Below are 12,229 nucleotides of genomic sequence, written 5' to 3' on the forward strand. Positions count from 1 at the left end.
TGTGCTGTTTGGGATTTCAGATCTTTGGATACTTCTCCTCTGAAGAAGATCCTATTGCTTCCCAGTTGGATGAAGAAAATTTGGTTTTCTTTGTGTCTAGAAAAAGGCGAATTTTAATTTCAGGTGACATTTTAATTTTCTCTTCCAAATTAGTATGAGTTTTAATATTTTCCTCAAGAATACTGGAACTATATTTTCCATAGAATCACTTTTCATTTTATGTATTTGTTCAATACTTTATCACTAGGTGTCGGGGGTGGTGAGAGTTTCATATGCAGTATCAGAAGAAACTCTACTACTGTTGAAATGGAAATATTATAATTTCTTTGAAGGACACTAAATAGAGAATGTGATGGAAGAAAATTCACATTTTCCTGAAAAGGCTCAGACTTCCAGTTAAACCTCTCTGCAATGATGTCACAATAATGCATGCTCCAGTAAAAGAAGTCATGTTTCTTTTAAACTATTCTTAAAATTAACTTTTTGAGTTTTCACTAAACATGACTCTTCTATTCACTCTCATCTACCCGGGATTATCTTAAAGATGTTTAACCTGACATCTCTTGAGAGCTTGGGCCAGTCATGGATGGGCACTGTCCCAGTCTGGGAAGTCTCTAATGTATGTGTTCTTCATTTTCAACTTTGAGCCTGGGACCCAGGACCTCCCATCCCTCTCCACTCTTAACACCTTGGGGTTTCTTCTCCTTCTTCCCTCCATGGTGGGAGGAGGTCAGGAAGAGGGAAGACAAACTTTCAAACCTACTCCTGTCTTCCAGCATTTCCTCTCATATTCTGAGATGAAGGTCAAATGTGATGTCTCTTAAAAAAGTACCGGGAGTCTGGGCACAGTGGGTCATGCCTGTAATCCTGGCACTTTGAGGAGGTCAAGGGGGGATGGATCACCTGAGGTCAGGAGTTCGAGACCAGCCTGGCCAACATAATGAAACCCTGTCTCTACTAAAAATACAAAAATTAGCCAGCCATGGTGGTGTGCACCTGTAGTCCCAGCTACTCGGGAGGCTGAGGCAGAAGAATCACTTGAACTCCAGAGGTGGAGATTGCAGTGAGCTTAGATGCCACCACTGCACTCCAGCCTGGGTGACAGAGACTCTGTCTCAAACAAACAAACAAACAAAGCACCTGGAAGGCTTTGTGAGCCAAACCCACCTTCATCCTTGACTCTTTCTTAGTCCAACCACTGACCTCAACAGAGCCTGGCTTCTGGCCATGGGAACTAGAAAAAAAAAGAAAAAGAAAAAGAAAACACACACACACACACAGACACAAAAGGGCTGTCCCTGCTGCCACCACACTGAGCTAAGGAGGGGCCCCAGAGCAGGGGAGAAGTGTGGCTGGCAGTCTATGTTAGGGCTTTGCAAGTATTTTTCTAGATGGCAGTTGCATTCTGTAATTCATTTATCACTCAACAAATATTTGCTAAAGTCTACTATGTAGGCCAGACACCTTTCTAAATGCTAGAGACAGAGCGGTGAACAAACAGACACAAATCCCTGACCTCATGGAGTTTACATTCCAATAGGGAGAGGCAGACAATAGCAAAAATTAAACAAGTAAAATATACAGTATGTCAGATGGTAATACACACTATAGGACAAAAAGCAGGTTGTGGGGAAAATAAAGCAGGAATGTGGGAAGGAGAAGGTGGTTTGAGGATGGGAGCATGGTGGTTGATGGGGTGGTCAGGGAAGTCCCCACTGGGAAGGTGAAAAAGATCTGTAGAAAGTGAGAGAGCAAACCATGCATTTCAGGTAGTGGGGAGAGTGGTGGGAGCTAAGGTTGGAGAAGCAACGATGGGAGTGGGGACAGGTGTACTGGGACTTGTATGACATGCTGAAGACTTCTGAATGAGGCACAAAGCTACAAGGGGGCTGTGGATAGAGGAGGGAGTCACCTGAGTTATCCTTTATATTCTTTTCCAGCTTCTGCATTTAAAATAGTCTGTACTAGTTCATGTCCTTTGTAGGGACGTGGATGAAGCTGGAAACCATCATTCTCAGCAAACTATCGCAAGGACAAAAAACCAAACACCGCATGTTCTCACTCATAGGTGGGAACTGAACAATGAGGACACATGGACACAGGAAGGGGAACATCACACACCAGGGACTGTTGTGGGGTGGGGGGAGGGATAGCATTAGGAGATACACCTAATGCTAAATGACGAGTTAATGGGTGCAGCACACCAACATGGCACATGTATACATACGTAACAAACCTGCACATTGTGCACATGTACCCTAAAACTTAAAGTATAGTAATAAAATTTAAAAAAAAATAGTCTGTAGTGTGGAAGGGGTGGAAGCAGAGAGAATGATGGTGGCTTGCAATAGGGCAGTGTTTCTCCATCTTTTTTTTTAAATTACTGAACCCTAAGGAGCCTTTTTAGACTTTCTGTTCCTAATTGCCTTCCCCTCTGCCTTATCCTGCTCCATGCCATTTTAATGCCTCAGGTATTAATTACTAAGTGTATCCAATTATATACTACATGCGTATCTGTGCTTTCTGCACAAAAAGAGTAAAATGGATTCATGTTCCCTCCAAGAACTAATTTGTACCCCTTTGGGGGGCAATATCTTCTCTGTTGAGATACACGGATGAGGGTGGTAATACTAGGGTATGACACCTGTTCACTTGCCTTTCTTTCCTAAGAGTTTGCAATTATAAAAATTAAGTGCCCTGGAAGAAATTCTATATATATGGCTTTATCATTCAGTGCATGGCCATAGAAACATAAAAGTGTCTAGCTAGTCTTTTTTTTTCAAAATGCACATTTTTTTAAGTCTTAATGACAGTCCTAGTTTCATTCTTTTATATTGAAAAGCCTGAGATGGTATTAAGTTTTTATCATGCGTAAACCACAATGGTGAGAATTCAAAGAAAGGAGTCCTAAAAGATGTGAAATATCTCAAAAAAGAAATGACTCCAAACGATGTTTAGAAAACGTGTTCTCTGTGAAATATGCACATGCACGTGTGTGTGTAGGGGGTGGGTGGGTGTGTGTCTTGCCTTTTCTCTGGGAATTAATGTACCACATTTAGTTAGAAAGCTCTATATATGCAAATTAGTATCTCTGAGGATCATTAAAACACAATGGTTGCCGGGTTTTAGGTTTTATTCTACTTTAATTTTTAAGTAACTTGGGGCTTTCTAGCAAAAAAGCTGGCTGTTTATCTTTTTTTTTCTTTTCTTTTTTTTTTTTTTTGAGACAGGGTCTCGCTCTGTCACCCAGGCTGGAGTGCAGTGGTGCAATCACAACTCACTGCACCTCAACCTCCTGGCTCCAGAGATCCTCCCACCTCAGCCTCCCGAGGAACTGGGACTATAGGCATGACCCATCACATTCAGCTAATTTTGTGTTTTTGGTAGAGATGGACTTTGTCATGCTGCCCAGGCTGGTCTTGAACTCCTGGACTTGAGCAATCCACCTTCCTTAGCCTCTCAAAATTCTGGGATTACAGGAGTGAGCCACTTGTGCCCTGGCCATATCATTTTTTAAAAAAACAAATCTAACAAATGAGTTTCAGCACCTTTACTGCTGAAAGTTGAAATGAATATTATGCTGTTGACAGGTAGTAGAAGACGAGATGTGATTAAGAGCATTGTCAAGATACCTCACCTGGATTTACTAATAACAGCTACTCAGAAAGGATTAATAACAGTTTTTAATAACCAGGTAATTTCTTTTTCTTTTTTTAACTGAATGACTCATTTTACAATAACCAGGTAATTTAAAAGCTTGGATTTCTCCCCCCCTCCCTCCCTCCCTTCCTTCCTTCTTTCCTTCCTCCCTCCCTCCTTTCTTTCTTTCCTTCTTGCTTTTATTTCCTTCCTCTTATTCCTTCCTTCCTTCTTTCCTTCCTCCCTCCCTCCTTCCTTCCTCTCTCCTCCCTTCTTTTTCTTTCCTTCTTTCCTCCCTTTCTCCCTCCCTCTCTTCCTTCCTTTCTTCTTCCTTCCCTCCCTCCTTCTTCTTTCCTTCCTTTTCTCCCTTCCTCCTTCCTGCCTCCCTCCCTTCATCCTTCCTCCCTCCCTCCTTCCTTCCTCCCTCCCTCCTTCCCTCCTTCCCTCCCTTCTTCCTTCCTTCTTCCCTACCTCCCACCCTCCTTCCTTCTTTCCTTCCTCCCAACTTCCCTCCCTTCCTCCCTCCCTTCTTCCTTCCTCCCTCCTTCCTCCCTCCTTCCTTCCTCCCTCCCTTCCTCCCTTCCTCTCTCTCCTCCTCCCCTCCTCTCTTCTTCCCTCCTCCCTTCCTTTTCTCTTTTTTGGTTTGTCTCTGCATTATGCATATGTATCAGGTACAGCGGAAACCATAAATTATATTTTAGAGTTATTCCAAAAAATAAATCCAAATATTTAGTAATGAGGAGATTGCTGTGCTCTGTGGCAATTCTTTGAAACTGGTGACTGCATTTGGCATTGTTCCTCAGGGTGTCATATGGAACCATGTGGCATCAACACAATTAAAAGATGATCCTGGATAATATCTCAGTTAAAATCAGAAACACTGACAAGCCAAGTGATTAATAAAAGGTCCCATCAGGAACTTTGGACTTGAAATAAAAATGAATTGCTCAAATTCTCGCCCTACTGTTTTACTAATTATGTCATTAAGTAGGGAGCTTAGTGAGCCACTTACATATCTTTCACATCTCTTTTTTTACATCTGTAGAATGAGGACAATAAAACCTGTCCTCCCTCAAAGGATTGTAGTGAGGGTCAAATGAGAGAATGAGTGTAGAAACACTTTATGAGCAATAAATTCCTACATGAATGTAAGGCTTTGCTGTTATCAATGTCATTTCTAAATTTGTAATTTTGGACTTTCACTTTAATGGAATATGTTACAATATACCCTACATAATATTTTGCTATGAAAATAAAAGATGAATCTTTGGTGTTAATTATTTTAAAAATCCTAATGATTAGTTCATTTCCAACTAGAAACAAGCTTTATGCAAGTAAAATACCTTTGAAATAATCATTATGTGATTAAAATTTTATCATAATTTTCAGTTCTTCAGTAATCTCCAGCTCAGGAAATCTTTCAGAAGTTGAAGTCACAGACAGCCAGATTCTGTCAGAGGAGGGGGCTGTGTGGGCCCTGGAGGTGGTGCAGTGAGGGATGCAGAGTGTGGGCGTGGAGTCTGGGCTCCAGCCTCGCACTAACACTTACAGCTGTGCGTGTTATTTAATATCTGCATGCCCTGGTTCCTCATCCCGAATCATAGACCTTCTTTCTTGCTGTTTAAGTGAGTTAATACTCATGAAGTGCTTAGCATCATTAGAGTTCCTCAGCAAATATTGGCCATTGCTATAATAAACAAATAATGTGAAAACAAAAATGAATTTGCCTCATTTATATATAAAAACCTTCTTGATCTTTTTCTCTTGGTGCATTATTCCCCTTCTCTTTTGTTACCTTTATTACCTCAAAAACAGAACTAAGATGGTATCTAGAAAATAATAGGAGAAGGAAAATAATTATGTGCATACTAAAACATTCAGAATGATGTGAAATAAGTCAGGCGGCATTATCACATTTCCAGAGATGCTTTACAAACATGCACATACACACAAAAGCTTACAGATGGGCACGTGTATACTCACAAACGTGCAAACACATATGTTTTTTATAAGATAATGTAACTGGAGGAAAAAATGGCTAAAAAATTAATGGTTTTTTTTTTTTTTTTTTGTAGAAACAGGGTCTCGCTGTGTTGTCCAGACTAGTCTTGAACTCATGGTCTCAAGCCATCCTCCCACCTCATGGCCTCCCAAATTGCTGGGATTACAGGAGTGAGCCATGCCCAGCCCAAAATTAATTATTTTAAGATTTAATACAGCAGGAATAATATTGTTTTGATTGTTGCAAGCCTTACAAATATGACACATCATGTGAAAAAAGTTAAGCTGGAAGTGTAGGTCACAGGAGTAATTTATTCAAAGGTAGCCATTAACAACTCAAAATATCTTGGATTAATTCATAATTTAGGCTCTATCTGAAGTACAATAAATATAGTTCAGGATTTTCTTGGTGATATAAACATTAAATGCTATTAATAAAAGTAAATTTTTAGTATCTTACCAAAGTAAGAAATTAAAAATTCAAAATATATCTGTAAGGATTATGAAACTTTTAAAGAAGCTGAGAGGACTTTAAACAGGTGACTTCCATTAAAGATATATATAGAGAAAGAGAAACAGAAACCACAGGTGTTCTGTTCTGCTACTCACCGGTTTTCTTACAGCGATGTATTTTTTCCACCTAGAAGTCAGTCCCGGGTTAGAAAAGCCTTTTTGAACTCTTCAGATGAAAGACAGTCTGTGGGTAGCCATGACTAACAGCTTTAGTGATCTCTCTGATCTACTTTCTCTATTTCACATAATCCGTTTCTTCTGGGCCGCTGTTTCCTAGATACTTCTCAAGGCCATCTGAGCATGTAAAAGAAACAAGGTCAGTGAAATACTTCAACTACTTGCCTTCATCTTGGGAGCAATTTCCATGCCACAAGAGTATGAAAGGCTGCTCATATATACAGTAGCTCTCTGCATGGGATAAATCTGTGGTTCTTAACTGGTATAGTACCCAATGCATGATATTCACTCAATAGGTGCTTACTGAATAAAAGAGGAGGCCCACTGGGTAAAATGTTCTTTTAAGTCTCAACTTGGAGAGATAACTTTAAACAAAACAATGGTAGTTTTTCTCCATCACTCTATTAAATATTGATCTATTTAGCATTCATGTAACTACTCTTGCCATTGCTGTTAGATTATTTTGCATTCCTATTTTTTTGGCATCAAATGTTGCTCCAAACAACTAAAAAAAATATGATGTAGTTTGCATAAAGAAGGAAGACAATGATTAGTGAAGTGTTAACAGCACAGTCACCAGGTTTAACAATGAGCCACAGAGGTATAAGCCTTGCTCACAGCAAACAGTGTGCATTATTCCACAGAGCTAGATGTTTCAGAAGGAGAAACAGGGAGGAGACTTATGGAAGGCAGAATGACAACTGAGATTAAACCAAGAAGATACTGTGTTGTTTTAGAGTCAGCATTCTCATCTTTAATGGTAGTGCCAACTAGGTTTCATTATTCTCTTCCTTTGTTCATAGATGAGAGTTCAGACCAGCACCAATGTTACAGTAAGTACACTTTAAAAATTCCTAATTAAGTCAAAGTTAGGGCTATGATGATGTTTCCTTCACAATTAATTAAAATCTCAATGAAGTACTGAATAGGCTCTGGGTATATGTTTCATATATTATAAATTTATGTTTACTGACTAGGATCAAACCTAAGCCTTGAGCAACAGCAAAGAGGACCCAGGTCTTGCTTTCCGGAGTTAAACTGACTGCAGAGAATTGCTTGGAAACTGGTTACTCCTTGGAAGCTTCAATTTAAAAGCTTCTGAGTTTTTCTGAGCATCTGCTGTTGGAGAATGTAAAGAATGGACACAACCTAAGTTGTAAGAATAAGGAGGTGGCCCATGGAAATAGTTAGAAAATATTTTTATTTTAAAGTTGAAAATAACATTAAAAGTTTGAGTACAATTTTGTGATTTATTTAATCCACATCATTAATCGGAATAGTAATTGCAGCAGATGTTGTAAAGCTACAGTGACTTGCTTGCAGAATCTCATTATGGATTTACGAGAGCTGGGAGAATGCTGGACTTTTTCATTGCTTGCATGCACTGAATACCCTGAACTACAAAGAAGGGTGCCATGCTGCCTGGCAAAGGAGTCTGGATTCTCTGTAAACTTCTGAACCTCCATTTCTTAAACTGAAAAAAAAAAAAAAAAAAAAAAAAAAAGCCAACACTGGAATTTCTAACAGGTTTTACAGAAAGTTAGAGGCCATGCCTGAAATGCATGCAGCAGTCATAAATGGAAGCTTCTGTTTCTGTTCAGGAGTGTGTTGTTGATATTACAAATCCTAGCCATGCCAGCTTGGTGTCTTTAGGTAGGACACAAGAAATTCTCCTTGGGCTCCACTTATCATGGACCAGGTAATTACTAAGGTCTTTGTTTTCTAGCATGGGGACAGGGCTCGAGAGCTCGCTTAATCAGTGCCCTAAATCTAGTCTCCTACTGCCCATGTGAAGAAGCAGTCTCACAGCAGTGAATAGTGCACAAAGATGCTCCACCAACTGCTGTGTGCTTCCAGGGAGCAATCCTATCGCTAACTGAATCATTCTCCAGCTGATAGTACTGAGAAACTCAGGGTAAGGGTGAAAGGGGAAAAGATGGGAGCCTGTATCCCAGACACTCAGACAGGATGTACTGCAAGGCTTCTCTGTAATAAGGCAGCAAAATGGAGCTTTTAGTGTGACTAACCTGCTCTTTGGTGACCATCACCAGGTCATTGAAGGAAATGCATTATATCCCCCAATTCTCTGCTTTTCTATCAGGACACCTCCTGGATTACAGGGTGTGATTACCTCTTGCAGCTGAAACGAATCGTAGCCACAACCGAAAGGACCATTATTGTCTGGGATTATAAAGCTCAAGGGAGCAGCCAGGTATTGTGCCAAGAGAAATACTCAAAGAAATGAGATTGTCTTTTCAGTAGTGGTACGATATGAGCAATCCACTTTCTCTATTGAACATCAGTTTCTTCATCTATAAAATGAGAGGATTTAAGTAAGTAATCTCTTAGATCAAGTTCAGCATGTATACTCTCTAATTAAAAGGGACTATTCTTTTCATTTAGTGTATATTTAGTTCAGTGGCGGTTGGGTTGTTTTTGAGAGAGGGGGTAATTCCTTTCTTCTTTTATACCCTTCTCTGAATCCAAGTATTATCTTTCTTTGGGTATACTCATGTTATCAAGTTCAAGTCTTTTCTCCCGAGTCCAGCTTCATTAGGTAAGAAAATTACTAAAATCAAATGTCTAAGTCCGGCAAAAACATCTAATGAGGCAGCCCTTCAGTGGCTGAGATGTTACTGCTTAACCAATCTACAGTATTTATTGGGCATTTGCAGACACTTAGAAGTAAGGATTATGTTCTCTGCACTCAAACAAAACTCAGTCTTGAAGTTCCTCATGAATAAACATAATATATAATATGATGATACAGCAAATTATATGGTGCAACGGGGACTCAGGGAGGGTGAGATCACTGAGCACCGAGGTTATTTAAAAATGTCTTCAGGAAGCAGACTGACTTTGAAGGACATGGAGGATTAAGAAATAAATTAACCTTCCTTCATGCCTTTCTTGTTCCTAGCCTTGGTAAAAAACTAACCTTCTTTTGCTATTTGTTCATAATGTTGTAACCAACTAGTGATGCCAGAATAATTTTAAAGACAGCAGCTTGTTGGTCAACGTACTTTATTATGTGCTGTGTTATAGACCAGGTTTTATTAATTTCCAAACCCCTAAACTCCAAGATCCTGAACTTTGATCATTACCTCTTCTCCTCATGCTGTTCTGTTTTCACTCTTGCTTTTCAATCCCATAGAAGCCTTTAGTTCCTTGAAAACATCATGTTCCAGTCTTCACTCTCCGTCAACTCTTCTCTTCTTCCCTTCTTGCCTACACCCTCTGGGGGTATCATCTGAACTGGTCAGCCTCACCCTTCATTCTCTTCGATCTTTGTCCTTCAACCTGGAGGGATGCCCTAGCCCTTCTCTGCTCCTTCACAGTGGCTAAGCACTGCTGAAAAAAACTAAACAGTGCTATTTGGCACAATTATGAACTTCGGGTCTGCAGTAGCTTCCATCAATCTCTTTCTGGCTCTAACCAGCTCACTGGCCCATTTCTTGTAAGTCATCCACAATTTCAGTATTCTTCTCAGGCTTCTCCCTCTAGTAGATGGACTTGCACTCTATTTTCCTGCAAAAACTGAGTCTACTATCAGACTTGTCCTCTTTCAAATTCCAGTGCTGTCACCTACAGATTTAACTGGAAACCACATCCTTACTTTCGTCCTCTCTCTGAAGGCAAAATATCCTTGCATTTGACACCCCCTCCCCTCCTGTCTTGGCCAGGACAAGGCTCTACAGCCTCTTCTCTCTCTCTCTCTCTCTCTTTAAAAATTGTTTAAATTTTTTTATTTCCATAGGTTTGGGGGGAACAGGTGGTATTTGGTTACATGAGTAAGCTCTTTAGTGGCGATTTGTGAGATTTTGGTGCACCCATCTCCCAAGCAGTATGTACTGAACCCAATTTGTAGTCATTTATCCCTTACCCCCTTCCCACCCTTTTCCCCAGAGTCCCCAAAGTCCATTGTGTCATTTTTATGCCTTTGCATCCTCAAAGCTTAGCTCCCTCTTATGAGTGAGAATATATGATGTTTGGTTTTCCATTCCTGAGTTACTTCACTTACAATAATAGTCTCCAATCCCATCCAGGTTGCTGTGAATGCCATTAATTCATCCCTTTTTATGGCTAAGTAGTATTCCATTGTATATGTATATACCACAGTTTCTTTATCCACTCATTGATTGATGGGCATTTGGGTTGGTTTCACATTTTTGCAATTGCGAATTGTGCTGCTATAAACATGAGTGAGCGAGTAGCTTTTATATATAAGGAGTTCTTTTCCTCTGGGTAGATATCCAGTAGTGGGAATGCTGGATCAAATGGTAGTTCTACTTTTAGTTCTTTAAGGAATCTCCATACTGTTTTCCACAGTGGTTGTACTAGTTTACATTCCCACCAGCAGTGTAGAAGTGTTCCCTTTTCACTGCATCCACACCAACGTCTATTATTTTTTGGGTTTTTGATTATGGCCATTCTTTCAGGAGTAAGATGGTATCATATTGTGGTTTTGATTTGCATTTTCCTGATCATTAATTTGACGCTGATCATTTTTTTCCATATTTTTGTTGGCCATTTGTATATCTTCTTTTGAGAACTGTCTACTCATGTCCTTAGCCCACTTTTTGATGAGATTGTTTGTTTTTTTTCTCGCTAATTTGTTTGAGTTCCTTGTAGATTCTGGATATTAGTCCTTTGTCAGATGTAGATTGTGAAGATTTTCTCCCACTCTGTGGGTTGTCTGTTTACTCTGCTGGCTTCTTTTTGCCGTGCAAAAGCTCTTTAGCTTAATTAAGTCCCAGCTATTTATCTTTCTTTTTATTGCATTTGCTCTTGGATTCTTGGTCATGAAATCCTTGCCTAAGCCAATGTCTAGAAAGGTTTTTCCAATGTTATCTTCTAGAATTTTTATAGTTTCAGGTCTTAGATTTAAGTCCTTGATCCATCTTGAGTTGATTTTTGTATAAGGTGAGGGATGAGGATCCAGTTTCATTCTCCTACATGTGGCTAGCCAATTATCCCAGCACCATTTGTTGAATAGGGTGTCCTTTTCCCACTTAATGTTTTTGTCTGCGTTGTTGAAGATAAGTTGGCTGTTAAGTATTTGGATTTATTTCTGAGTTCTCTATTCTGTTCCATTGGTCTATGTGCCTATTTTTATACCAGTACCATGCTATTTTGGTGACTATGGCCTTATAGTATAGTTTGAAATCAGATAGTGTGATGCCTCCAGATTTGTTCTTTTTGCTTAGTCTTGCTTTGCCTATGCAGGCTCTCTTTTGGCTCCATATGAATTTTAGGATTTTTTTTCTAGTTCAGTGAAGAATGATTTCACTCTCCTGCTAGACTCCTTCCTCTCAACCTCCTCTTAATCTTCCTCTCAATCAATTCAGGTCCCAGATCAAATGTTACTTTCTCTGGCCATGGGACCTGATGTGGCCTTTTCAGTCACTGTGTATCAGAGCACTATAATTTATTTCCTTAAATGCACTTCTACCAGAATAGTAGCTCTACAAAGTCAGAAACTGTCTTGTACATCATTGCACAGTCGTGCTGCAATAGTTCTTGGCACACAGAAGGAAATATATAGATAAATGTTTGTTGACTGAACAAATTTATAGAGACTGAATCCTGGAAGAGCAATAGCTGTATAGCTTAGTGGCCCCATTCAATAGTACAAAATAAGCTTGACAAATGCTAAATATTTCTGAATAAACTTGGATGGTAGGATATTTTTTCTTCTGGTGACTCCTTGGGACTTTGATATTTGATTTTCCTGTTTGCCACCCAGTTTAATGTCAACAGTCTGGTAACACCTGAACCTTGTTATGCTTACTTTAATGTTTTCTTATAAATCCAAAAAAAGGCCATTTACAGTCACGCATCAGAAAAATCTCATTACTTATTGGCCCAGGGGTAGGCACTCTACTCCTTTCTCCACAAA

The 12,229-nt window shown here is 39.6% G+C and overlaps 1 protein-coding gene and 1 long non-coding RNA gene across 8 annotated transcripts in view; one reads left to right on the plus strand and one right to left on the minus strand.

Moving 5' to 3' along the window:
• Positions 1–12,229, plus strand: part of WDR64 (WD repeat domain 64) — a 150,497-nt gene that overhangs the window by 18,773 nt on the left and 119,495 nt on the right. For 5 of the 7 annotated variants that reach the window (NM_001367482.1, XM_011544087.3, XM_011544091.2 and 2 more), the window contains exons 3-6: positions 21–123; positions 3,591–3,694; positions 7,134–7,163; positions 8,432–8,542. In NM_001367482.1, the coding sequence (NP_001354411.1) occupies positions 21–123; positions 3,591–3,694; positions 7,134–7,163; positions 8,432–8,542 (348 nt within the window). Of the gene's footprint in view, positions 1–20; positions 124–3,590; positions 3,695–6,261; positions 6,470–7,133; positions 7,164–8,431; positions 8,543–12,229 lie in introns of those variants that run through there. The other 2 variants (XM_011544086.4, XM_047445900.1) reach the window with 2 other exon arrangements.
• LOC124904603 (uncharacterized) overlaps positions 1–12,229 on the minus strand; it is an 81,624-nt gene that overhangs the window by 10,430 nt on the left and 58,965 nt on the right. Inside the window, exon 2 of the long non-coding RNA XR_007067055.1 lies at positions 6,250–6,447. This is a non-coding gene — a long non-coding RNA (uncharacterized LOC124904603). The remainder of the gene's footprint in view (positions 1–6,249; positions 6,448–12,229) is intronic.

The sequence above is a fragment of the Homo sapiens genome, chromosome 1 (genome assembly GCF_000001405.40).
Source record: "Homo sapiens chromosome 1, GRCh38.p14 Primary Assembly".
Classification (NCBI taxonomy): Eukaryota; Metazoa; Chordata; class Mammalia; order Primates; family Hominidae; genus Homo; species Homo sapiens.